Source organism: Homo sapiens, chromosome 16 (genome assembly GCF_000001405.40).
Source record: "Homo sapiens chromosome 16, GRCh38.p14 Primary Assembly".
NCBI classification, from domain to species: Eukaryota; Metazoa; Chordata; class Mammalia; order Primates; family Hominidae; genus Homo; species Homo sapiens.
Window position 1 is genome coordinate 55,722,700 of NC_000016.10, and position 27,512 is coordinate 55,750,211.

A 27,512-nucleotide genomic window follows, 5' to 3' on the forward strand; every position below is an offset into this window, starting at 1 on the left:
AATTCCTGGAAATAATCTCCTAAGATTGAATCAGGAAGAGATTGAAATCCTGAAGAGACTAATATGGAACTCTGAAATTGAATCAGTTACAACAACAACAAAAAAACCCTACCAATCAAAAAAAGTCCTGGATCAGATTAATTCACAGCCAAATTCTACCACATGTACAAAGAAGAACTGAGACCAATTCTACTGAAACTATTCCAAGAAAATCCAAGAGGAGGGACTCCTCTCTAACTCATTCTATGAAGCCAGCATCAGCCTAATGCCAAAATCTGGAAGAGTCACAATGAAAAAAAAAAACTTCTGGCTAATATCCCTGATGAACATAGACACAAAAATCCTCAACAAAATACCAGGAAACCAAATGCAGCGGCACATCAAAATGTTAATAAACGATGATCAAGTAGGCTTCATCCCTGAGATGCAATAATTGGTTCAACAAGTACAAATCAATAAATGTGATTCACCACATAAACAGAATTTAAAGCAAAAACAATATGTTCATCTCAATAGACAAAGAAAGAATTTCTTATAAAATCTGACATCCTTTCATGTTAAAAACCCTCAACAGACTCAGCATTAAAGGAGCACATCTCAAAACAATAAAAGCCATCTATGACAAACCCACAGCCAACATCATACTGAATGGGCAAATCTGGAAGCATTCCCCTTGAGATATGGAACAAGACATAAATGCCAACTCTCACCACTCCTATTAAACATAGCCCTGGAAGTCCTAACTAGAGCAATCAGGCAAGAAAAAGAAATAAAAGGCATCTAAACAGGAAAAGAAGAAGTCAAACTATCTTCACTGACAATATAATTCTATACTTAGAGAACCCTAAAGAATCCACCAAAAGGCTACTAGAACTGACAAATTATTTTAGTAAGGTTTCAGGATACAAAGTCAATGTACAAAAATTACTAGCATTTCTATACATCAATAACACTCAGGCTGAGAGTCAAATCAAGAACACAATCCCATTTGCAACAACCACAAATAAATGAAATACCTAGGAATACAGCTGACCAAGGAAGTGAAAGATCTCTGCAAGGAGAACTACAAAACTGCTCAAACAAATCAGAGATGACACAAATAAATGGAAAAACATTCAATGCTCATGGATAGGAAAAATCAATTTCATTAAAATGGCCATGCTTCCTAAAGCAATTTACAGATTCAATGCTATTTCCATCAAACTACCTGCACCAATTCTTCACAGAGTTAGAAAAAACAATTCTAAAATTCATATCCAACCAAAAGAGCCAGAATCATCATAGCAATCCTAAGCAAAAAGAACAAAGCCGGAGGCATCACATTACCCAACTTCAGACTATACTATAAGGCTATAGTAACCAAAATAGCATGGTACTGGTACAAAAATGGACACATAGACCAATGGAACAGAAGAGAAAACTCAGAAATAAAGCCACAAACCTAAAACCATCTGATCTTCGACAAGGTCAACAAAAACAAGCAATGGGGAAAGGACTCCCTATTCAGTAAATGGTGCTGGGATAACTGGCCAGCCATATGCAGAAGAATGAAACAATTGAAACACAGCCATGCCCATTTGGATAGGTATCGTCCATGGCTGTCTTTACTATCACAGCAGTTGCCAAAGAGAACATGGCCTGCAAAGTCCAAAATATTTACTATCTGGCACTTTATAGAAAAAGTTTGCTGATACTCTAATTTGGATCACTGAGTGACCACATGGAAGACAACCACATTGTTGACCTGAACAACAACACTCTACTTCTTTACATAAATGAAAAATAAGCCATTGAAATTCTGGGCCTAATTGCTACCATAGTTTATCCTGGTCTCACTAATAATTCTTCCTCAGCAGTCACAGGGTGATTGACTGATGAATGTACATGGCCCAATCATCAGTTGTTTGAGCCATTGAGGTGGACTAGTTATGCCCATGGGAGTACAGCTCTCTCCTCTACGACCCACCACGAGCCCAAAATTTCCTCCAGATACTCTGACCAGTCAGTCCTAGGACCTGATTGACCCCAGGGAGTCTGACCCCCTAAGTATAACACAGCATCATGGGCAGCATCATGGGCCTGGGAAGGTGTAAACATAATCCAATTTCTGCCCATTGAACTGAATGTTAACAGGAAGACGTTCCCTGAAGCAGAAGGAAATGACCTTGATGACGATGACCCTTGCCAAAGGTAGGTACCCTTGCCTTGTCACCTACCTGGTGGTCATGACGGTGATCAAGGCTGGCCCTGCTTTCATGTAACTAACTGGCCTTCAATGGTTCACTTTTCCCATTGAGTGACTTTTTTCAGTTATACACTTTTGTAAACTAGAAGTGTTTTTACTGGCATTTCTTTATGTACTTTTTTATTTTTACCATCATTTTAATTTAAAAAATGCAGTCACACGTTTTCCATGCATACCTCTAATTTATGGCAGGTTATAGAGGTCTTGCATTTATGGCAATGGTATAAAGTCTCCTTTTTGAGTGAGCATGTTGAAGTAAAAAGAGTGACTTCATTTAAAGAAAACTGCTCATGGAAGTACAGATGATACGCTGATAAGGCAAAAAACCATGATATTAGTATGAGACTAACTGAGGTTCCAGAAACACTGCGTATGCCCAGGCTGCAGTGGAGAATGTCATAGAATCCTGGATTCATAGAGTGTGGAGCCATGGTGAAGGGTGCGTGAGAGGGTCCCTCCCCCAGAGCCACACCCTGTCTTTCCACAAGGAATTCCCAAATGTCACCCAGTGGATTCAGACTTCTGTCTCCCAGTTCAGTGTTCTCCACCACAAAATCTACACCTGATCAATCCCATAGTTCAGAGACAAAGCTGAGTGAGGGGCCCAGAAAGACATGTGTTTGCTGTGCCCAATGCCTGCTCTAACATGTGTTTTCCACATATCTGCTGAGCAAACTGATGGAGGTGGAGAAGCTTGGGAGAGTTCATTTGAAGGCCCCAGATATGCCCACTCTCCCAAGTCCTACCCAACCTCCTATGTAAGCCAGGGGTGGCTTTGGCATGTGTCCATGGGGATGTTCGCCTCAAAGTGATGCAGGAAGGAGTCAAGGCAGTCCCCTGATGGGCTGATCCTTTGCTCTGGAATCCTTAAGATCATTGTAGATCCTTAAGAACATTCCAGAACTCTCACAGCATTCTGGAGTCCATTATTTAACACATGTTTATTGAGCACCTACTGTGGGCCAGGCATGTTCTTGGGTCCTTGGGGTCCATTAGTGAACAAAGCAAAGGTCCCTAGATTCACGGAGCGTGCATTCTAGCAGGGGGAGACAGATAAGAAGAACATGCAAATTACTCCATGGATCATGTGATATGTTAGAACGGGATAAGTGCCTTGGAAACAAAGAAGCAGTTAAGCAGATGAGGGAGATCAGAAGGAAGGATCCCATGAATTCCGCTGTCTTGAATTTTGACATAGTAGGGGAGAGGAGTGGGCCAGGAGGTGTGTGAGTGGCAAGTGTACTGAGGTGTCCAGTCGGCAAGTGCTCAACTCTCAGGTGTGCCCAGCTCCCTAATGCTGAGGAGAAAAATGGCAGGTGTGTCCATTCACCCTGGCCAAGCTGGGAAGAAAAGCCCAAAGGTTCTAATTGGCCTCACCACCTCTCCCCAGGGTACAAAGGACCCTACAGGCATCAGAGAAGACCCCATTCATCTCAGCAGCCAGGCATTTGGAGGGTTTCCAGCAGCCCACCTCTAGCTGCCTTCTTTTCTTTCCTTTTTTAAAAAATAATATTTACTGTTTTTATTTTCTGACTGCAAATGTAATGCATACTTATTACAAAAAAGGTAAAGTATTATGATTTAAATTTTGTTTGTATTCCAGTTTTTCTGCCTGTTGCTATACTTTCTTCCTTTAAAATGGAATGTTAAGTTCAGATAATTTGGATGCTTGCTTTGCTCATTAAGTATATCATGAGCATCATTCTATGCCATTAAATAGCATAGCCTGATATTAGCAGCTGCATCACATTTGGTATTGCACCACAATTAATTTCCCCAAGCTTTTATCTGGGGTCATTAGGTTACATATGAAGTTTTTGATAATATAGAGAGCACTGTGGTGAATATTTTATAGTGAAACCTTTATGCCCATTCATAATTATTTTAGGATAAGTTCCCAGAAATGACATTTCTGAGTCGAAAAGTGTATATCTTTTGTTAAAATTCCTTGCCAAAATATTCCAACTACACTTCTCCCATTGAAGGATGAAAATCTCCATTCATCAGATTTTTTGCTGTGCTTGGGGTTATTAAAATTGTTTTTGGTTATCGGATAGGCAAAATGATAATAATAATAGCAATATTATTTTCCTATTTAGTTTGCATTTAACTGAAGACCAGTGAAGTTGAGTTCTTTTTCCCTTTCTTCACATTGGAATGTTGTTTTTATTATTATTATTATTATAATTATTATTATTGTTATGCCACTTGTACTTGGTGATCTGCAGGAAAACCTCCCAAGATGGAAAGCATGAAATTGTCTTTGCTGGCTCTGATTCTTGACAGCTGTGTCATCCCAGAGCCTGAGTGCCTCAGTTTCCTCATGTACCTAGTGGGGGCCATGAGGCCTGCCTTCTGGTACTTTGAGGTCTGGGACTGTTGCTTATAATATACTTGTGTATAAGCACCACATGGCATGGATCTACCTGGCTATGTAAACTTGGGCAGGTTCTCTAACCTCTCTGGGCTTCAGTTTTCTCATTTGTAAAATGGAAATAATGGAACCTATGTAATCAGAGTAATCTGAGGCTTAAATGAGTTAATACATAAAGGGTACTTGAAACAGTGCCTGGAACACTGGGAGGACGCAATAACTATTACCAATGTTCATCTATGTTGTATCCTTGAGATCTTTCATCAGGGCAACCAACAGCACTTGCCTGGGATAGGCAGATGGTAGAATCTTGGCATGTCAGGGCTGCAAGACTCATGCAGAAATCAATCCTCTCACATAGACCTGGCAGATTGGGACCCAGAATGTGAAAGGAATTCACCCAAGGTCACCCTGTAAATGTGTGGGAGAGACAAAACTAGAGCACAGTTCTGACGTTGTCCCACAAAGATTTTACCCCTAAGATATTGTTGGAAATGTCACCTCCAAGGGAGGATCAGTGTATTGGTGGTCTCCCCTCCTCAATGCTGGGAGTTCCAAAGTTTCCGGGAAGAAAAGAGCTGTGAAGCCCTTCTCACTCTGCTTGGTCTTAGGAGACCTTAGTGAGTCCCAGCGTCCCCACCTGAAGCCCCTGATAGCCTCCTACCCACTACAATGTCGTGAGTCTGTAAATATCAAGTCCATTTTCAGGCTTAAACCTCCCAGTCCAAGGCGCTGCCCTAGAAGACACCTCGCTTAGATCTGGCTGAACTTCAGGGGTTCTTCTTTCCCCCTCCGCAGGTGCACCCAAGATCCCAAGGTAGGGCAGTTTCTCTCAGAACTATTGACCAACCGAAAGGAGAACATTCCTTTCAAGCTTTCTGAAGACTGTCTTTACCTCAATATTTACACTCCTGCTGACTTGACCAAGAAAAACAGGCTGCTGGTAAGTTGTGGGATCCCCTGGTCAAGGCGTGTCAGTGCCAGTACCCCAGATATTCTAGTGTAGATCGGAAGGGGATGAAGGCAGCTTGGGGAGGGAGCTGCACAGGCCAGGATTGTTTCAGGACCCCAGGGCCTCTACAGGAAACACAGGTTTTCCACACGTCAGTTTCCCCTCGTGACATAGGGACTCTGGGGGAGTTTGCTGTGCCTCTTTAATGAACATCTTAATTGTTCCAAGTTCCCTCATGATAATAGAAGGATGAGAATGATTACCTTTAGTTACTAGATTAAAAATCTGATACCCAGATTGGTATCAGAGTGGGTAAGACATGATTTTCAATAATGTTAGCGGTCGAAGGAACTTAGAGAAAAGCCAACACCTCAACTCTTCCTTTTCAGATAGAGAAACCGAGGCCCAGACAGGGAAGGGGAGGTCACCCAGTAGGATAGTTTTGGCTCAAGTCTTCTGATCTTCAAACTAGTGCTTTTGACACAGAGTAGGGCATTGAGATTGTATGTGGCCTTTCTCCAGCACACCAACATCCATCTGGGGTAACTTTCACTGTCCGGGTATGGGTGTTGGGGGCAGAGCCTGGGACAATCCCAGAAGCTCTTCCTTTTGCCTTTGGCCAAATATCTGGGATTTTTTTGTACCTAATTTCCCTCCCTAATTGTGTTGGCAAAGGGTGATGACCCAATGTGTCAGCATTTGCCAAATAAACAAACGGCAGGAGATGGGGCTGGCTGCCAGCTGCAGAGTTGGGAGTGTCTGCTGGCAAAGAAGGCCACCCCAAGGTGAAAGAGGAAGGGGTGTCAGGTCCAGTCAGTCTCCCAGGGGCACCGTAGCATGGTGCCTAGGAGTGGCGGAGCAGGTCTGCGAACATGGGACTAGAAGTTGGCCCTACATGTGCTTCGTGAGACACAGGAAGTGGGAGAAAGGTTTACTCATTAATTCATTCATTCTTCTATTGTGTACTCAGGGCCTCATATACACAGTTAGACCTGGGGCTTCACGGAAAGGAGGAACATGAACGCACTCCACACTGCCCCTGCCTTCAAGGATCTTGCCTTTTGTGGGGTAGAGGCATATCCTCCTTTCAGCATGTTATTGCAGGTCAGCACTCGGGCTCAGTCTTCACACAAAGATGAATGCACACTCAATCCCTCCACAGGAGGCAGGCAGGGATTAGAGGTGTGGGAGAAACAGGAGCTCTGGGAACCTGAAGGCAGGAAAACCTCCAGGAATGGCCACAGGTTCTAGAACTACACGTGCTTAGAACAGCACTTCGTACATAGTTTATGTTATGAGTTCTTTTATATTTCATGAATAATATTATTACAATACTATTATTTTAGCCACTCTCACTTCTTCCCCACTATGTGGACTTTTAAAATGCAAGAACCTTGAGTTAGGAATTGTACCTACTCTCATCCTCGGGTATTAGCAGAGTCCCTGGCACATAGTAAGTTCTCAGACAGTGTTAGTCCATTGATTGAAGGCATCCTGAAGAGGGTGGGTTTTAGGCTGGGCTCTGCAGGGTGGATAGGATTTGGGGATGCAGAGGCATAAAGGAGGCATTTGAGGAAGAGACACCATCACAGGCATGTGTGCTTCTCGAGACAATCATTCATGCACAGAGAAGTTTACTTCACCATGAAAGAGTTAACTGAGATGAAGCTGAGATACAAGGGCTGCCCCATGGGTACGCGGAGTGCTTGAACAGTCCAGGCTTGAGGGTGATGGGAGTGAGGTGGAGAACATGAATCCTTAGCGTTTGCTATGCCCATGATGATGTTCTCAGCGTGAAGAGCCTTGCGAGGAGGAGGCACTGGAGACTGGGTAGAAAGGAAGGGGCAGCCAGGGTATGTGCAGTGGGGTGGTGGCTTGGGCCCCAGTTGGGAGAATTATGGAGGAGAGAGACTGCCTTTTGCAACCTTGCTGGGCACTTGTGAAATTTGGGTAACAACCTCCCTCAGTTGTGACCAACAGGCAGGTCACCAAACAAGATGCCCTCTGAGTGCTCCCTGGCCTTGTGTCCTGTAACGAGTATGTTGCTTCCCCCCTGCCCAGGTGATGGTGTGGATCCACAGAGGGGGGCTGATGGTGGGCACCGCATCAACCTCTGATGGGCGGGTACTCGCAGCCCATGAAAACGTGGTGGTGGTGACCATTCAGCACTGCCTGGGCATCTGGGGATTCTTCAGGTAAGAAATTAGACTCTCCTCACTGCACCTTTGGCCCCCAACATGAGGCTGCTAGGACCAGCTCTGGTCATGTCAGCCCTCAGGAGACCTTAACTGGGTTCCTCATTGTAGCAGACAAGCACCTTCATAATTGGACACTACCTACCCTCTCACTCCCCAGCCACACTAGTCCACTAGCCTCTGAGCTTTTGTATGTGGTGTTCCCTCTGCCTGGAATGCTTAGTCTACCTAAAGAATTCCTCTTCATCCTGCAAGACCCAGCCCCCAGTTAGCTCCACTGAAAGACTCATCTCCTTTTCATCTGTGCTGCTCCCACACATTGCATTTCTCTGTCATGGCAGCTAGCATGCAGCCCAGCTGTTGAAGGTTGACACATCTGACTTCTCATGGAAAGGAGGGAAGGGGCAGAGTCATACAGGGAGTTCAGGGCATATTGTGGGTGAAGGAATGGGCGCTGCAGAAGGTGGGGTGTGGGAGCATCTGACCCCTTCCTGGAGGAGTGTTGGGACCCACTCACCCCATTTTCTGCTTGAAATCTGGCAAGTGTGGGAAGCAAAGATGGAGTCCTCCTCATCAGGTCTCCATGGGGACAGAAGTCCCCATGGCGTGGAGGAATTTGGTAGCTTTGAGAGCTTGTTTGGGGAAAGCATTCAAACTTAAAGGGCTGGTACATTGGAGGAGAGAAAATGGGGATGCCAAGAATTTTTAGAATTTTTGAGAATGTTTTTAGAATTCATTGGTTATAAGCAACAGTTTCCCAGTGACCAGATTTAAGTCAAGACGGACGATTGGCTAGGTGTGGTGGCTCATGCCTGTAATTTCTGAGAGTGATGTGGCCCTCACTCCTGCTCTGGTGGAGAAGGGTGACGTCAAGCCCCTGGCTGAGGTAGGTCTCCCGCTGGATGCCCCCAACCCCTTGGCTCTGTGCTTCTGAATTCTCAGAGGTTATTCTTGCCATGGGTTCTAGCTGATGTTCTCCTAGAATCACTGAAGCGATTGGGAGGTAGAGGCGGAAGCCTTGCTTGAGCCCAGGAGTTAGAGACCAGCCAGGGCAACAAAGTGAGATCCTGTCTCTACAAAAAGCAAAAAATTAAGCTGGGCATGGTGGTGCAAGACTGTGGGCCCATCTACATGGGAGGCTGAAGTGGGAGGATCACCTGAGCCCAGGAGGTCTATGCTGCAGTGAGCTGTGTTTGCACCACTGCACTCCAGCTTGGGAACAAAGCAAGACCTTGTCCCAAAATCTTCTCTTTAAAAGGAGAATTTATTTTTCAAGGAAATAGAGATCTGGGAGGATGGGCTTTGTGCAAAAACAGGAAGCAGAAATTACAAAATGATGGGAATCCTAGACTCTGTTACTCTTGTTCTCTCTCTGTCTCTTTCTCTCTGTCTGTCTGTCTTTCTCTCTCTCTCTCACCCTCTACTTCTCCCTGTCCCTGTTTATTTATTTGAGAAACACTCTGGGCATTGATTCTGTCCGAGATCCTGCACGGGGCTCTGGGGGCATGTGCGCTTGCCCTGACTCCCCGACTGTGGAGCCTGCCTGCTCTCCCTCTGTGCCCTTCTTTCTGGCTGCACTTTGCTTCCAATCTGCATGAGCACCCTATCTGCCCCTGAGCTTAAGGACTCTCCTTGGTTCCAGAAAGTAGTCAGGCTGTCTTTCCTGTTGTGAAAAATGAGTGTTTTTTACATTAGCAGCTCTCCACCCCAATTCCAGGTCACTTAAGAGAGAGGCTCACTGTCCCGTCTTTGCTTCGATGTCCCTGAACTCTTAGAAAAGTAGGAAACCAGAGTATGCTGGGCAAACTGACCCCAATGCCTAGGTCAGGCAGAAGGGACCCTGTCCCTCGGGAGGGCTTTTTAAATTTTTATATTTTTTACATTTTTTTAAAGATGAAAAGAGGTTCTTGGTGTATTAATTATTGTTACTTTGTGGCTTGACTCAGGACAAAGGTGCAGAGACCATCGCCCATGGCCAAATCTGGATCTATGCCTGCATGGCCCTTGAGCTAAGGATGACTTTTTTTAATCATATGAAATTCAAATTTCATTGTCCATAAAGGAAGTTTTCCTCGAACACAGTGACACCCATTCATTTACCTTGTGTCTCTGGCTGTGTTTCATGCCAACAGCAGTCTTGAAGTTGCAGCAGAGACCACATGGCCCACAAAGCCTCAAATATTTACTATTTGGTCTTTGATGGGCACATTGCTGACCTGTGGCCTAAAGAGTCATGTTTGATTACTGCTTGGGACTCTAGTACACAAATGTGCAGGTGGAAACTCCTGGCTGTGCCACAGATGCCTCACTCAGCTGAGAAACCCCATCTATGTCTTGCAAGGGACGAGACCCTGTTTTTCTTTAGAACTCACCATTAAAGCACATTTGCTACTTTCTGAAGTGGTCCTGTGTGAATCATCTTATCTAGGCCTCCTGCAATTCTGCACATCTTTATTGTGTGGAAGACATGGCACTCTCCCACATGTATTAACTCATGAGGTAGGTGCAGTCATTATTACCATCCATGAGTGGAGAAACCAAGGCCCAAACAAATCAGGTGGACTGCCTGTGGCCTAATGGCTGGTAAGTGGAGCAGCCAGGATTTGGAAGCAGACAAGTAAATTCAAGATTCCATCATCTCAACCCCAGCTCCACCTCACCTTTCTTGACACATTCAGCTTGAGATGATTATGTCCATTTCAATAGAGATAAGGTAGCAGAGATAAGAGACTGGGTAATTGGCTCATACTACAATTGTGATTAGTAATAGAGGCAATGCTCTGCGGAATCCAGAACCCACACATGTGGGTCTAGAGTTTCTTCTGCTGCCCCCTGCCACTTGTACAAGTCAGGCTTAGTTAGGATAGAACATCTTTTTCCATATTGATGGAGGGAAGGGACTTCGCTCTTGAACTCTGTTGTTGCTTGTGATCTTTGCAGCAAATTGCTAACACTGTTGGGTGTGAAACCACCAACTCAGCTGTCATGGCTCACTGTCTGCGGCAGAAGATGGAAGAGGAGCTCTTGGAGACGACATTGAAAATGGTAGGTTGCCTGTTCCCATAGCCCAAACCCAGACTTCTTCATTTCAGCTGTCCTCTTGCCCTGGGACAGTTACCTGGGGCAATTTCTCAAGTCTCAGGAGTCTCAGTATCTGAATGGGGAATCTAATTTGTCCTTTTTTTTATTGAAAAATGACACAAATGTAAAAACAAAGTCCAAAAATAACATGATAAAAAAACTGACCAAATTTACTATTTGACCAAATTTTAATATTTTGCCATTCTTGTTTTCAGATGTATTTTTGAGAAACTAAACATTACATATTCCCAGGGGACACCATCATTCTGAATTTTGGGGATGGAGTTATTAAGCTCAAAGATTTTCAGAAAGATGTCACAAGTTATCTTGGTTGACTTAGAAACTGTCTGTATTAGACCTGGTAGTGGTCCAGTTTTCTAGATTTTCTGAGACTCTGACTCAGTTGTCATTCTAGGATAGTCGTTCGTCCACTCAATCATTAATCCATCTACTATGATCTTCTTATGCATCTATGTGTTCACTAATTCATCCCATTCATTGATATATTTTTATCAATCTAATATCAACCTGTTCATAACTTTTTATTTTTCTATTTTCAATCTATCCACTGTTCATGCATCATCCAGCCACCATATATCTTAACTCTGTCACCCCATTCCTCCAAAACCAACAATCCAATTATCACCTATCTGTTAGTTTTCACCCACTATTCATGTATCCATCCAATTCAACTGTACTCCAGCTATTGGTGAAGCCATCCATCCCTCCATTTATCCACCCATCCATCCATGCTAAGTATGTAGGGGTGGGTGTTAGAGGTAGTGAAACAGACATGAAGTGGACATAGTCCCTGCTCACATATACTTTTCAGGTTGAGTATGGTGGCAGCACAGAGGGGAAGCATTCATTGTAGTCATCAGGGGTGCTTCACAGAGAAGGTGGACGAGCCGAATTTGAGACCAGACAGCGGAATTCGGGAATTCATGCCCTTAACCCTGACTCCACCTTATCTTTCTTGAGAAATTCAGCATTGAGATCATTGTGCCCATTTTAATAGAGGTAACAGAGACAGAGAAATTTTGTAATTGGCTCATGTCACAGTTCCAGTTAGTCAGAGGCAACACAGTTCCAGTTAGGACCCAGAACCCACACCTGTGGGTCTAGAATATCTTCTGCCATTCCTGCTGTCCTCACATATTAGGAGTTGGGGACCTTTATGATTGACGGACAGCTGTGGCAGTCTCTCAACACAGGGAAGCCCAGCAGGACAAACACCCAGATGACACAGCACCCAGGGCCATTGGGAACTATTCCCTTTGAGGGAGAAGGGTGTGAATTCCAAGCTCATGAGTAGCCTGATCTCTGGAATCCCTCCTTGGACCTGAGGCTACTCCTGGGTCCCAGGTCCGGCTGCTACCACTGGACTCTGCTTGTGTTTACATGGGTTGAGTCCAATGTGGTCTTGGAGCTTAGGTCTTGGTTCAAGCTCTAAATGACCAAAGTGTTCAAGGAATTAAAACACAACTGCTTTCTAATGCCTGGAAGGAGGCAAACATTCCAGCAATTCTGCATGTGGCATCAGAGGACCCAGCTTAAAAGGAAAAACTTGGTAACTTTGGGAAAATCCAGCCCTAAGATCCTGGGACATCCTTCTGAGATTTTCTGAGATCTTGTGGGAGCGCCTCCATGATTACCCACTGCCTCCAGTACACACACATGCAGACACACAGAGAAACACACACACATAGACACACACACACAGAGAAACACACACACAGACACACAGAGACACACACAAACACACACACAGACACACACACAGAGAAACACACAGACACAGACAGAGACACACACAAACACACACACAAACACACACACAAACACACACACACACACACAGACACTCCTGGCTAGTGGGACTACAATCCTTAATGGAGAGACCTGCACTGGTTACTTCCTGCGAACAGGCCAGACACGTGAGCTACAGTGCAGCGATACAATCACTGCAATCTTCATGAACACACACCAAAGAGAAGCATGGGGTAGGGTAAGTTTCAGTGAGTTGTATGAGTCAGAGCTGTGTAATGGGAGATGAGAAAACTCCCCCAAGGTGCCTTGAATGGAAAAAGGAATGTGTTGGAATAACATCCTTGTGTTAACTGAAAAACTCAGGAGTTGACAGTTTCAGGCATGGCTGGATCCAGATGCCTATTGAATGTTATTGAGAATCTACCATTCTCTATCCTTCAGCTTTGGACAACTCTGTGTTGACTTCACTCTTCAGCAGATACATCTTCTGGGAAGGTTAAAGACAACAGCACTCTAGAGTTATATCCTATCTGCTTCGAAACCCTCTGTCCAAACAATTCCTACAAAAGTTCTGGGGTAAACTCTATTGGATTGACATGGATGTATACCTATCCCTGAACTAATACCCGCAATCAGGGAAATGGAGCGCCCCAGGTCACATATAGATGCCTGAATTCATGGAGTGATAGGGAAAGAAAGAGATCCCTGAAAAAGAATGGGGGTATTCTTCCCTGGGGAACAGGAAGGGGAGAGGGATGGGGGACAGGGAAGGCTCCAAAAGCAGGTGTCCTATCCAGAGCTGTAGCAATGCTGGCTCAGAGTTCCTGGCCCATCCTTCCCGTGCCAGTGCCCACTCTTTCGTTCTATGCCTTCACCCTGTGCTCAGGCCCAGCAGAGCCAGAGTCCGGCCCACTTCCTCTGGGCCCAGCCAGCTCGGCACCAGGAGGGAGAACCTGACACCTCTGCTGCCCCACTCACCCAGCTCAGTGTTCTCCTGGGAAGCCTCTTACCCACATCCTCTGCTTTTGTCTTCACAGAATTTCTGAACTCTAGACTTACATGGAGACCCCAGAGAGGTAAGGACATTTTGTTTCTCGATTGCGGGTTTTGAGTCTTAGCACCTTTAAGCTCCAATTAACTATAAGTGAAAGAATCCTCTCTCGGGTAATTATAGGAACTCCTGTGTGCTTGATGCTGAGGCCCAGAGAGGGGCAGTCACTCACCTGGGTAACACAGCCAGGAAGACTAGTGGCTGGCCTGGAACCCATTTTCCTGACTCCCAGTCCAGTGCTCCCAGGCATCACCTCTGTATGCCCTGGGCTCTGCCCACTCCCCTGCTTTTTTACATTTTCTGCTCCCCAAAATGGCACTATGGGAGGAGGTTGAACCAGAACATTCCACTATCGGGAGGCAGAGATAACAGGGATGATTAGCCACGGAGAGGGGAAGCCTGAATCTCAGTCCAAGGACACTCAACTCCTCCCAGCACACAGGAGTCTCCAACAATATCCTCCTGATCTCCTCACCACCCCCACCTCCCAATGGGTTGACAGTTTCTGGTGACATCACCTCTGACGAATCTTACAATCCTGTCCTCTCTGCTGCCTTCCTGGAGGTCACAGCACTCTCCTAAATGGTCATGGGCGGAGTACATGAGATTCATCCAGCAAAGACTTAATAAACACTTCCTATATGCCAGGACTTGTTTAGGAGCTGGTGATATAGGAGTAAAACAAGAAAGACTCCCTGCCCTCTTGGGACCTTCCATTACAGTGTAGGGAGAGTGCAATAAAAAAGCAAATCTAGTATGTATTCTGTTGGATGGTGTGCAGCATTAGGGGTAGAGTTTGCAGGTGGTTTCAATTTAAGTAGCAGGATCAGGGAATGGCTCAATAAGAAGGTGGCATTTGAGCCAAGCTCTGGAGGAGGCAGGAAGCCAGCTGTCAGGAAACCTGGGGAAGCCTATTCCAGGCAGAGGGAACAGCCACTGCAAAGACCCCGATGGAAGTGGCAGGTCCAGCTGGAGAGGATGGAGTGTGGGGACAGACTGGCTTGAGGCTGAAGAGGTAATGGGAAGTGGGAGAGGGATCATTTAAAGTAGTTGCATTTGGATTCTGAGCAAGATGGGAAGCCTTTGGAGGTTTTGAACAGAGGAGTCACATGATCTTAGATTTCACAAAGGTCTCTGCCCCTGGTGATCAAATAGACTGTAGGAAACGGGCAGAGTGGATGCAGCTGACCAGCTGGCGGGCCACTGCATTGCCATAATCCAGGCAATGGCTCCTGGCTGCTTAAGGCTGTAGTAGTGGGGATGGGAGGAATGGTTGGAGTCTGGATATCTTTGAAGGAATAGCTGAGAGGATTCGCTGATGGACAGGATGCTAGGGGTAAGAAAGGGAGAGGAGTGGAGGATGTCCTGAGTTTTCGGGCAGAAGCAAAGTCATACCCACACAGGGCAGCCACTTGAAAACTCTAAGTGGACAACAATCACTTGTCATTGTTGCTGATGGCAGTCTTCCCACTTGGCTGCCACCCAACCAGGGCAATCCTGTCTCTCTCCTCAACTTTTATCCTTTTCTACTTCATATCCTCTACCCAATTCCGTGTCTCATGGTGCAGCCAGATTGGCCTTCCTTAACAGAGTTAGAGTGCGTCACCCCCACTTCTTAAAAGCCTGACCTTCCTTATGAGACAAATTCCCTTCCCTCCATGGAGTTAGTCCTTCAAAACACACCTGCGTGCGCACTATGTGCCAGACTATACAGAAGGTAGGCTCTGCACCTGTCCCTCCCTCTAAAACCTGCCCCACGATAATTTTCCAAGCCCAGAACTCCTGAGTGTTTCTGGAATTTACCCTGCATAGTGATATCTATGTCCCTTTGCTCACGTGGTTCCCGTTTTTTAGAAATTCTCACTCCTTTCCTCACTTGTCAATACCAGTCACTGCCCAGAGCCCACTGCAGGCAGGCGGCACCTCCTCCACGTAGCCTGCCCTGCATCTTCCTTGCAGAGAAGCTGCTCCTCTTGCTGGCCTCCCACGGCAGCCCTGCCTGAACTGCACAGCCTCTCAAGGAGGCCGGACTTGCACCCCAATCCTGTTCCGTATTGTCAGCCATATTGGATTAGGATCTGCACCTTGTCCAGCTGGTTCTGGTCCACTTCACAGAACATTTCCCCCAGGCAGCCCGAACTAGCTCGTCATTCATTGGCTTTTGTAGAGCAGAACAAAGGTCCTGGAAGCCATAGGGTCTCAAAAAAGCTAGGAATTGTCCAGTTGCATCTGATATCTGGGAGGGAAATACAGCCCATAGGGCATGGAGCTGGGAAGATGGCACAGAGGACTGGGGTCTATGAGAGGGACCCACAGCAACCCTGCTAACAAGTAATACCTAACAGTTATTCAGCCCTTCCAGACACCAGGTGCTGCGCTAAGTATTTTGCATGTGTTCAGCCATTTAATTCCTCACAATAACTCACCTCTTAGATGAGAAAACTGAGGCCCAAACAGGTGAAACTCCCAGCCAGTAAGTAGCAGAGCCAGGCTTCAGATCCAGTTAATCTGGTTTCAAAGTCCATACTCTGTTTTAACTGTACCCAGAACCAGCTGCCCTGATGGCAATGCGTGAATCAGGCTCTCGCTAATCTGTGACCATACAAAAATTATTCATCAAAGGTAAAACCTAAAATTAGGACATGGATCAATATACTGTGAGTTCATCACTGATTCTTTTATTCATGATTTTCTCTCTAATAGGGAATCACGTCCTAGTCTAGGCTCCTTGAGTGATGAGGGTTCCGTACCTCCTCAAAGCCACCCATGGATCAATAACAGCTCTCATTTAAATAGAGATAGATAGCACAATCTCTCCTCATTAATCATGGATTCTGCGTTTATAAATTCACCTGCTTCCTAAAATGTCCTTATAACCCCCAAATCGATACTGGTGGCACTTTCATGGTCACACACAGGCAGGTACAGAGTAGGGGAATCTGGATTTGCATGATGGGCACGTTCCATCTGAGATCCGGCAAGGCAACCTCTGTCTTCTTGTTTCATCTCTCAAGCTAACAAGTGTCCTCTTCGTGGTCAATTTAGTGCCATGTGTTCTGCATTTTTGTGCTTTTTCTGGTGATGTCACTGTTCAGAGTTGCCCGCAAGAGTAGCGCTGCTGTCTAGTGTTCCTGAGCTAAGCAGGCTGTGCTGTGCCTTACCGGGAAGGCGCCTGTGTGAGATAAGCTTGGGCAGTGCTGCTGGCCATGCGTTCGTTGTTGAAAAATCCACAAAACTGCACATACAGGAAAAGGAGGAGGAAATTGGCCAGTTCATACATGAGGCTGTGATGGGAAGTGCTAAAGTAACACCTACTGTGTGTGATGCAGCTGTGGAAAGATGGAAAAGAAACTGCATTGGGAGATTCATGAGATGATGAAGGAATTTTTAAAAAGCAGGATGGACAGCACTGTTGTGAGGTTGAAAACAGGAAATTTACACTCATCTTACCCAGGGTCAAAAAATGGGAAGGGCTTTTCAGCTGGTGTTTTATTAAAAGTAATCCTACTTATAATTAACTCTTTGTAAGACTTATGTATTATATAAAGTGTCTTTCAACAGAAACCCACACATAAAAGAAGGTTGATGAAAATGTTGTGGCCAGAGGTTTGCAAGAACCTAACCCAGTATTTCCCCTTTGAGTGATGACCCTGTATTCTCTAATTCAGCACTCGTGGGAGCTTTGTCGGAAGCAACTGCTGGGACTACCGAAAACAACTGTGGACACAGAGAGGGAAATGCATGTACTTCAAATTGAAGTATATAGACATGTAATTTTATATAGATAATACATGTATTTCAGTCTGAGTGAAGATTTCTTCCTCTCCTCGTCACCTGACCAGTGTCAGCCTCTGCCTGAAGTTCTGCCCCTGAGTCACACATCTATCCTCCTTAGTTAGGACCCTGTGTGTGCATACCCATGGCCCAAAGTCACGCCGGTCTAGGGTGCTGGTCTCACCCTCAGACAGGCAGAGTTGGGGACACGGTTGTGACCTAGGGTGGGAATCACAGGCGCTGTGTTGCTCTCTCCCCCAGAGTTACCCCCACACACCCACGGTGATTGATGGAGTGGTGCTGCCAAAAACACCCGAGGAGCTTCAAGCTGAAAGGAAGTTCCACACTGTCCCCTACATTGTCGGATTTAACAGGAAGGAATTTGGCTGGTTTCTTCCAACAGTGAGAAGGCGCAGGCCTCTTGGAGGGACTCACCCACCCCCATCAGCCCTCCCACCTCTGATCCCAGGAGTGCTTCCCTCTCCAAGCACTGCTCTGAGTCCTGGGCAGCTGTTCCCTTCAGCAGGAGTTAACATTTCCATGGAAACCTTCTCCAGGAGGGCACAGTTGTCACCGGGATATCAGGGCCCTGGGATCCCCTCTCCCCAGACTCTCTGATTGTCTTCCTATTGAAGAATCCTGAAGTGTCTGTGCTGGGAGGACCAGTAGATAAAATAACTGTGCAGATGGGAAAACTGAGGGGGCCTAGGAGGGGAAAGGAGTTGAGGAGCCCGGAGAGGCAGTCGGGGGCTTCCTGGCTTCCCACTTTGGGCTGGGTATGCATAGTTCCCCCATAAATCACTCATGCTCTTCATCACCTCATTGAAAAGATCCAAAAAAGTGGCTTCTTTTGATTTCCCATTGACTTCTAGGGAACAGTAGACACCAGGGTCTACTTGAGGGATGACGGTCAGAGGAGGGTGAGGATGGACAAGTTACCTAATCGGGTGCTGTGCTCAATACCTGGTGACAAAATAATCCATACAGCAAACTCCAGAGACACAATTTACCCATGTAACAAACCTGCACCTGTACCCCCAACCCTAAAATAAAAATTGGGAATAAAAAGTGGAAGAAAGAAAGATTGACTTCTAAAATTGAAAAAGCGTTCTCCTTCCAGTCGAGGACACACAAAGCTGACCATGATTAAAGCAGTAGGACAGAATTTATTCAGTAACACAACTGCACAGAGGAAAGAAGAGTCCAGTATGGATTGGACTCAAATCCCCAAAACTAACTCCTGGCACTGTTTTAAAGGCTGAGTGTGCAAAAGGATAGGCACTGTGTGCTGTGGAGAGGGACTTGGTCCATGTGACTAGACCGCCTGGATGTCTTCATCCTGGCTCACCTGGGGCAGAAACAAACTCCTCTTATCGTCAGGACAGGAAGCCATGCATTAGACTGCAGGAAGAACCCACTGAAGTCAGGCTCTACTCTTTCCACAGGGACTGGGAAGATCAGGAGTCAGCTCCCTGAATGTTTGCATTGCAAAGAGAAGGCTCTAAGGCCCTCAAGGAAATGGGGTTGGGTGGTAAATTCCATCCCAAAGGGCAGAGAAAGTGTTCATCATTGCAGGCTTCTAAACTAACTGCTCTAGTTGGGTTCAGGGGCCTGTCTGCTTCTCTCCAGGTTTTGGCTGGAGCAGAGTAAATTGTTCTGGCAGAGTTGAGCGTTCCCAGGCAAGCATGTTAAGGATACTGGAGTCATTCTAGGGACACAGCCTTAAGCTGCTAGAAGCGATGCTAGAGTTTGGTCGAGTCTCTGAGTGCAGAGGTTTGGGCAGAGTTGTTTTGTGTGAAGAGATATGAAGTTTGCCCCTCAGAAGGATTTCAGAGGTTATACCAAAGACCAAAGCCATGAAGGCAGGCTCTAAGGCTTTCAGTGTCATCTGTGACAGGTGGGGGTACTAGGGAGGTCTGCATCCTCTTCCCCAGAACCCTCTATTCCACACTGGCTTGGCAGACACCTTCCCTCGCCATGTCACTGGCCACTGTAGGTATCCCAGCCTGACACACACACAAAACACACACACACACACACACACACACTGCAAAACACTGCCACAGCTTCTCCACATTTTTTTTTTTTTTTGTAATCTTTGCAATGCTTGAGTTTCTGGATATAAGCCCATTTGATTCATTGATTTTGCCCATTTCAGTAAAAACCCATGCCTTTAAAAGCCCAAAATATTGGAGGACTTTCAGTCTGCATTGATTTGGTTGGTTCGTCAGTTTGTTTCTTCTCGTTAATTCCCAATGATTCATAAATGCTTAACTTTTTTTTTTTTTTTAACAGTTGATGAGCTATCTACTCTCCGAAGGGAAACTGGACCAGAAGACAGCCATGTCACTCTTCTGGAAGTCCTATCCCTTTGTTGTAAGAGTCTAGGAATCACGGGAATTGGCTAGGACCCACAGAGCGACAAGGATTGCCCAAATTATAGAGCAATTAAATGGCCGAATGAAGACTGGGGCCTCAGGGTTTCTCCCATCTTTCCACCTTTCCCACTTCACTTTCCACCCTAGCGGGGAGTTGCACAGGGCTTGTGGGATTCACCATTGAGGCAGCCCTTCCTGGTGGGCTGGAGAAGCTACATCGCTCACCAGGGGGTGGTTGTCACTTTATTGATCTATTTTAGCGCATTCCTAAGGAATTGATTCCAGAAGCCATTGAGAAGTACTTAGGAGGAACAGATGACCCTGTCAAGAAGAAAGACCTGTTCCTGGACTTAATGGGGGACGTACTGTTCGGTGTCCCATCTGTGACTGTGGCCCGGAACCACAGAGGTGAGTCCTAGAGGTCGAACAGGGGAGGGATATGGACCCCACCAGCTTCTGTATCTGACTCACCTACCTCCCAGCATAGACAGATGTGGAAACAGCCGAGGGTCAGGCCTCAAAGGCTGATTCCATATGGCATGGGATGAGGTGCTGTCTTATTTTGGTTTATGCCAGTAGCAGCCTGTGAAAAAAAAAACCAGAGGCAAGCGGTTTTTTTAAGGTGGTGATCCCAGATATCAGCAGTAGGGCGGTGGGGAAGTGAGAGAGGAAAGAGATGGAATCCAATCCAAGGTGCCTTGACAAGGGAGTATCCTCTGTGGACAACTGGAGCTGGGAAACTCAAGGAAACACTGAGAATACAGCACTCAGGGGCATCCCATCTGAGCACCAAGGGAGCTGGGGTATTTACCCACCAGCTCCCACTTGTCATTGTTTGAAGGCTCTTGCAAGGAGTTGTTTATTCCCTGTGACTTTGACCTGCTGCACACAAGGGCAGAGTAGTCTCTTGTGACCAGACAAAGGCCTCAGGCCGGGAGCTGCAGATGCTGGAGGTAGAAGTCAGGCTGGCATGCCCAGGAAGAGGGGATATGGGTGAGACACTGACAGCATCTGCTGCAAGGGCTCCATGCCTGGAGTTATCGTGGGACATAGGGCTGCTGTAGGACAAATATTGAAAGATGAGTCTTGGAAGGTTTTTAAGGTCCAAGTTGGCTGCAAACAAGCTTGTTAAGCATTGGAGCTGGAAGAACAATGGGAGTCCTGCACAGGATCCAGAGGATTGTCCAGGACCAAGAAGGCCAAAAGTAAGAGCTATGGTGGGTGTGGGGGAGGTGGTCGGAAGAATGGCAATGTCTGAGGCTGGCTTTTGTCTATCTCGGTGTGTGCAGGAACATGCAAGCACAGTGCCAGGACAGGGTCTATGCAGGACCTTCTACCACTGACCCAAGGCTGTGTGGGTGGGGCATGAGGTTAGGGATGCGTGGGCTCACCTCTAGAGAAGTGTCTTCTCCTGGGTGCCAACTAGAGGAGGCTCACAGGACTCCTCTTTTTCTTCCAGCTCTCATTCGCCTAGTCTGCAAGCCAGGAAATGTCCTCTCTCTAACCATGCTGGAAGGGTTTTTAAATTTGGAACTTCATAAGCTAAAGCTAAAGCTATAGCTAAAGCTGATGTCGCAGGTGCCCAGACACACCTTTGCACAGGAAGGGGCAGGTGCTCATAACTCTCACTTCTTCACAAAGTCCTGATAAAACCCTATAACCAGGACCACTGGAGTTGAATCATTTCTGTCTTAAACTTGGCTTTGCCCCATGTTCTGCATCTGATCTATATATAGTGTTCCCATCTCCATCTTCCAATGGTTTGAGCAATACTGAACCTCTGTTTTTCATCTGATTTCCCATAACTTTGAGTTCAGAGTTTTTTGTTGTTGTTGTTGTTGTTGTTTGCCAGGACTACACCGATCTTATCAACTTTCACTTATTGTTGTGTCTCACTCTTTTTGATAAAAACAACATTTCTGAACATAAAGTTAATATGTTAAAGTTAATATGAAGAAAGTTTCAAAAATATGGAAACACGTAAAGAAGAAACTACATATCACTCCTAATTCCCCCACCTGGAGGCAAGTGGTATAAATTTTTTTGTACTTTCTTCTAAAGATTTTTCATGTCCTATATACTTTAAAAATCAATTTTATATTTCGCTTTTGTTCATAGAACACTATGTTGTGAGGATTTTCTCAATATTCATATAAACTCATCAAAACATTCCTTATTCCATGAAATGGCTGTGTTAAATAGACTTTAATATTCCTATCCTATTAGATGTTTAGCCTGGCTGCTCACATTCTGATACTACAATAACACTGAGTTCAGCCTAATGTTTATAAGTCTCTAACCACATGTCTAATAATTTTCTTGGGATTCTTTTTAGAAGTGAATAACTAGGCTGGACCAAAGAAATATTTTTGAACTCTTGGCAAATAATGCAAATTTGCATTCCCGTGCATAAGAACGTGGATTTCTTAATTTACTTTCTCATTTGGGATACCAAGGTTAAAAGTTAATGCTGCCAATTTGCCCCACCAAAAAGAAGCACATCACCCTGTATTCTTTTGCATGTCTTTCATGACATGTCTTTCATTGTCTCTGCTTCTCTTCTTGTGCCTATTTGTCATTGCCCAAAACTGTGCCCTACTTTCCTCTGAAGACTTGTGTTGTGACTGTAGGAATTCTATGAATATCAATCACTTTAGCCAAAAAGGTTTGACAAAGTACATTTTGGGCAGCATGCTGCCTATAATAATTTCTATCATTCACAAAAGCTCTTTCCTCTATAGTTGGCTCTGAGTTCCTTTGGAAAATGTTTGAATGGCAAAGGCAAGGTCAAACCCCCCTTTTAGCAAGTTTTGCTTGACCTTGAAGCAGCCATTTAACAGGTGGATTACAGAGCCACAGAAGGATGGCATCTTCCCAAGTGCGCTTCCTGCTGAGCCAAGGGTGCAGTGCAGGAGGCTGACAAAGATGAGTGAATAGATTATTCTTCATTCTTACATTGAAATGACATGTGCGGGTGGGGCGTGAGGTTAGGGATGCGTGAGCTCCTGTTGTTAAATCCTTTTGTGGCTGAATATTTAAGAATGTTAAGAAATGATGGCTGGAGGTGGTGGCTCATACCTATACTCTCAGCCCTTTGGGAGACTGAAGTGGGAGGATTGTGAGAGCCTAGGATTTCAAGATCAGCCTGGGCAACATAGTGAGATCCTGTCTCTACAACAAAATTGTTTTCAAAAAGTGATGATACTATATTACAAAATAACATATATAATATCATCCCAAGTTTATATACATAAAAGAGAGATATGTTAAAATAAAAAAGAAGCGTTCTCTGTGGTAGAGTTACCAGTGATGTTTTAAATTTGATTTTTAAAATGGTTTTTCAAAATGATTTTTAAATTATATAGGAGGTGGAAAATTCAAAGTGCTGAGGCACAGGACCAGGTGGCCCATGATGTAGCCCAGAAGGGGCAGTGATTTGTGGCTCCAATGAGCCAATCATTGGGAAACTGGCATCTTCTTCGGGCTGGAACAGGAGAGCTTTGTTGGTGGGAGAGGAGGGCAGGCAGAAGGAGAGAGGGCAGGGGAGAGGCAAGGTCACCCTTGCTCAGCCCCTTCTTTGCTCTGCCATGACTTTACTGCCTTAACACCCTAACACTCCCAGGCCAGGCAGGCAGCAAGACACATGGAGACAGTGAGATATAAAGCAGTGAGTGCCGCAGATTCCTGAGACACAAGAGGCAGATTGTTCCCTCTCTGCATATGTTTGTATTTAAGTAGCCTCATGTTCAGACAAGCAACTTGGATTTGCTTCAGTCTTCTCAGGATGGGTGAGAAAAACACTGGAAGTGCTCAAAATGAGGGAGAACAGAAGACACCTGTCAGAGTGGAGATGGCGTCCAAGTGAACGAAGTCTGTTATCAATGAATTACATCCAGTGTAACCAGATGTAGAGAGATTGTCTTGTGTGAGAATGTACCAGCAGGCAAAGGGGTTTACGAGGCAGAGTCAGTGTCCCTGCACTGGCAGTTATTTTGAATGAATTGACCCAGGGTTTCCACATTCATTCATTAAACATTTGTTCATTGAACAAATATCTGGCTCTAATTCCAGTTCCACCTCAACCAGCTATGCAGCCCGGAGCATGTCGCTGAGCTTTCCTGTGACTCTGTTTCTCTACTGTGCTGACAGCCAGAGGTTTCCTGCAGAGTTGGAGACCTTGGTAGCCTCCAGGTGTGTGTCTGGCAACATGAACTGTGCATGAATCCTTGTCTTCTCAGATGCTGGAGCACCCACCTACATGTATGAGTTTCAGTACCGTCCAAGCTTCTCATCAGACATGAAACCCAAGACGGTGATAGGAGACCACGGGGATGAGCTCTTCTCCGTCCTTGGGGCCCCATCTTTAAAAGGTAATGGCTCCTTGCTCTCCGTGAGCTTGGAGTTAGGAGATCTGGGTTCCTGTCTTGGTGTGGTGGCTTTCAGCAAGTTTCTTCTCTCCTGGTCTTAGTTTACTGATTCTCTATAACAGGGTTGAATGTCACTGGGTTGTCCCCCAGCTTCCTCCCACTCTAACATATGTGAGGCGGGATGTGTATTCATGTGCCCTTTGCACAGCCACTCAGAATCCTGCTCTGTGACATCAACAAGACGGGTGTGTGTGGGGGAGTCTTCTGAAGGATTCACTATACAGGGTTGAATGTCATTAGGTTGTCCCCCAGCTTCCTCCTGCTCTAATACACATGACGGGGGATGTGTATCCATGTACCCTCTGCACAGAAACTCAGAATCCTGGCCTGTGACATCAACAAGACAGGCGGGAGGGTGTCTTCTGCAGGATTCAGTATGACAGAGTTGAATGTCATCGGGTTGTCCCCCCACCTCCTCCCGCTCTAACATACCTGAGGGAGGATGTGTATTCATGTGCCCTCTGCACAGGCGTTCAGAATCCTGTTCTGTGACATCAACAAGACAAGTGTTTGGGGGGTCTCCTGCAGGATTCACTATGACAGGGTTGAATGTCATTGGGTTGTCCCCCAGCTTCTTCCTGCTCTAATACACATTAGGGAGGATGTGCATCCATGTACCCTCTGCCACAGACACTCAGAATCCTGGGCTATGTCATCAACAAGACAGGTGGTGGGACACATGCAGGGGTGCTCTAGGTTGAGAAGCCACCAATCAATTTCCCTCTCCCAGGAGCGCTGAGAATGTGAGTGAGGGTGAGATTAGAGTTGGTGTTAACCCTGAGTCAGGTCTAATGTGTGTCGGTTTGTCTTTCTGTCTGTCTCTAACAAAAACTCATAAACCTTTACATTTAATACATTTAATAATTGTTAGTTTAGAAATCACAGGATTATGAATTATGGTTTATAGTCAGCAGGATTCACTGTGATAGGATTGAATGTCATTGGCTTGTCCCCCAGTTTCCTCCTGCTCTAACACACATGAGGGAGGATGTATATCATGTGCCCTCTGCCACCGACACTCAGAATCCTGGGCCGTGTCATCAACAAGATAGGCGGAGGGACACATGCAGGGCCCTGCTCTAGGTTGAGAAACCACCAACCAATTTCCCTCTCCCAGAAGTGCTGAGAATATGAGTGAGGGTGAGATTAGAATTGGTGTTAACCCTGAGTCAGGTCTAATGTGTGTCGGTTTGTGTTTCTGCCTTTATGTCTCTAACAAAACCTCATAAACCTTTAAATTTAATATAATTAATAATTGTTAATTTAGAAATCACAGGATGTATGAATTTGGAATGGGAGAGGAGACTTTATTTTTGATGTGGTTTATAGTCAGCAAAGTTGCTATCCCTCAAGCTGGGAAGGTGCCTCTGGCCAAGCCCAGAAACAGGCTCATCGAACGAGGAGGGGTTGGGTAGAAGCTTTATATGAACAGATTGGCTAAACATACATGTTCAACACGTTACAGGGGGAGCAATGGATATTCATGAAGACAGTCCTGACACATGTGTATTAAACAAACATGCATGTAACATTGCCCATGTTCACCTGGTGGTGGAGACCTAATATTTAAATGTATTACAATTAGGGCTTATAAATCCAAGGGTCTTCTCAGGACACAAAGCCCAGCAAGTGAGCAGCCTCTGTACACCGGCCAGGTCCAGTCCATGGCTGGTGATATTCTTATCTGGAGAAAATAACTGAAATCAGTCTCTTATGCAATCAAAGCCGTAGTTAAGGCTGGTGGGCAGTGTTCTGTTCTTCCGAGTATCCAAGCTGCAGCCATTTTAATTGTTTTCATTTTGCTTAACTCCAGGCCAGTACTGGTTTAGCTGTAGACAAAAAGAAGCACCTTGCAGCAGGGAGAACAGAGTGGATTCTTTAAGGGTAGAGATGCAGGCCTGAACCCTTGCCCGGCATGGCCTTCGATCTTTTTTTAATTTGGTGTCTTATTGCCACAAGGAGTGTGTTCTGTCAGAATGATCACCTTTATTTTATTGCTGATACTCGTCCGGTGGTGTCTAAACCACAAAAAAGGGGGAGTATGATGAGGCGTGTCTGACCTCCTGTCTGTTTCCAGGCAGGAACTCAGTTTAGGGTTTTTCTGGGGTCCCCTTAGCCCAGAGAGGGTCTGTTCAGTGAGTTGGGGGTGTTAGGATTTTATTTTTAGTTTACATTATACAATATTTTTAAAAATCCTTTCATGATGTCTTCTAAGCCTTAACTCTCAGCTGTTACAGATCACATGGGACTCACCCCATGGCTGCTCAGGACGCACCATCGCCACTGGGCATGTCCCAATTATGCACCCTTAGGAGGCTTGAGTTCTGTTATATTTCAGAATGTGAATTGTGGGTGTGTGCAAGAGAGAGCAACCCTGGGAGGTGGGGCAAGCACATGGAATGATGCATGCCCATTGCTGAGCCCTAGGTCAGCCATGCTTAAAGGTAAAGTACACACAAATCCACCAGGATCTTCTAAATGTGCAGACCTCAGCTCAGTGGGTGTGGAGCATGCGCCAAGACTATGTTTCTAGCAGGTTTGCACGTGAAGTTGACAATGCAGGTCCGCGGACCACACTTTGAGTAACAAAGGCTTTTTTTCTTCTTCCCCACAGAGGGTGCCTCAGAAGAGGAGATCAGACTTAGCAAGATGGTGATGAAATTCTGGGCCAACTTTGCTCGCAATGGGTGAGGCTCTTGGCAAAGACACAGCACAGCTGGTGAGGGTGGGGGGCGGGGCATGCCTATTGGGAAGGGGCAGCTTCTAAGGTTCTAGCGATCAAACTTCTGACCCTGTGACCATAGCACTCTGACAATGAGAGCTCTCTACAAATGGAGAGGCCGCCCCTGGAGATAGTGAACTCCCCGTCTCTGGAGATATACAAGCCTCTTGACGGAGATAACTTGGGCGTCCTCACACATCTCTGAAGATTGTTGGGGACACACAGCAGCTTTGGGGCAATTCTATTTGATTTTGTTTCCAGAAACCCCAATGGAGAAGGGCTGCCGCACTGGCCAGAGTACAACCAGGAGGAAGGGTACCTGCAGATTGGTGCTAACACCCAGGCAGCCCAGAAGCTGAAGGACAAGGAAGTAGCTTTCTGGACCAAACTCTTCGCCAAGAAGGCAGTGGAGAAGCCACCCCAGATAGAACACATTGCGCTGTGAACGGAAGGTCCATCCAGCCTCAGGAACCTGGAGGAGCAAAGACTGGGGTCTTTTGCCAAAGGGATTGCAGGTTCAGAAGGCATCTTACCATGGCTGGG

The 27,512-nt window shown here is 45.8% G+C and overlaps 1 pseudogene across 1 annotated transcript; it reads left to right on the forward strand.

Moving 5' to 3' along the window:
* Window positions 1-2,225: 2,225 nt before the first annotated feature.
* Window positions 2,226-27,512, forward strand: CES1P2 (carboxylesterase 1 pseudogene 2; annotated as a pseudogene). Its single transcript, NR_033740.1, has 14 exons — window positions 2,226-2,257; window positions 4,532-4,603; window positions 5,394-5,562; window positions 7,633-7,766; window positions 8,133-8,229; window positions 8,563-8,652; window positions 10,707-10,811; window positions 13,655-13,693; window positions 17,704-17,844; window positions 19,738-19,818; window positions 20,081-20,228; window positions 24,059-24,190; window positions 26,862-26,934; window positions 27,231-27,512. The product of NR_033740.1 is annotated as a carboxylesterase 1 pseudogene 2 (transcript).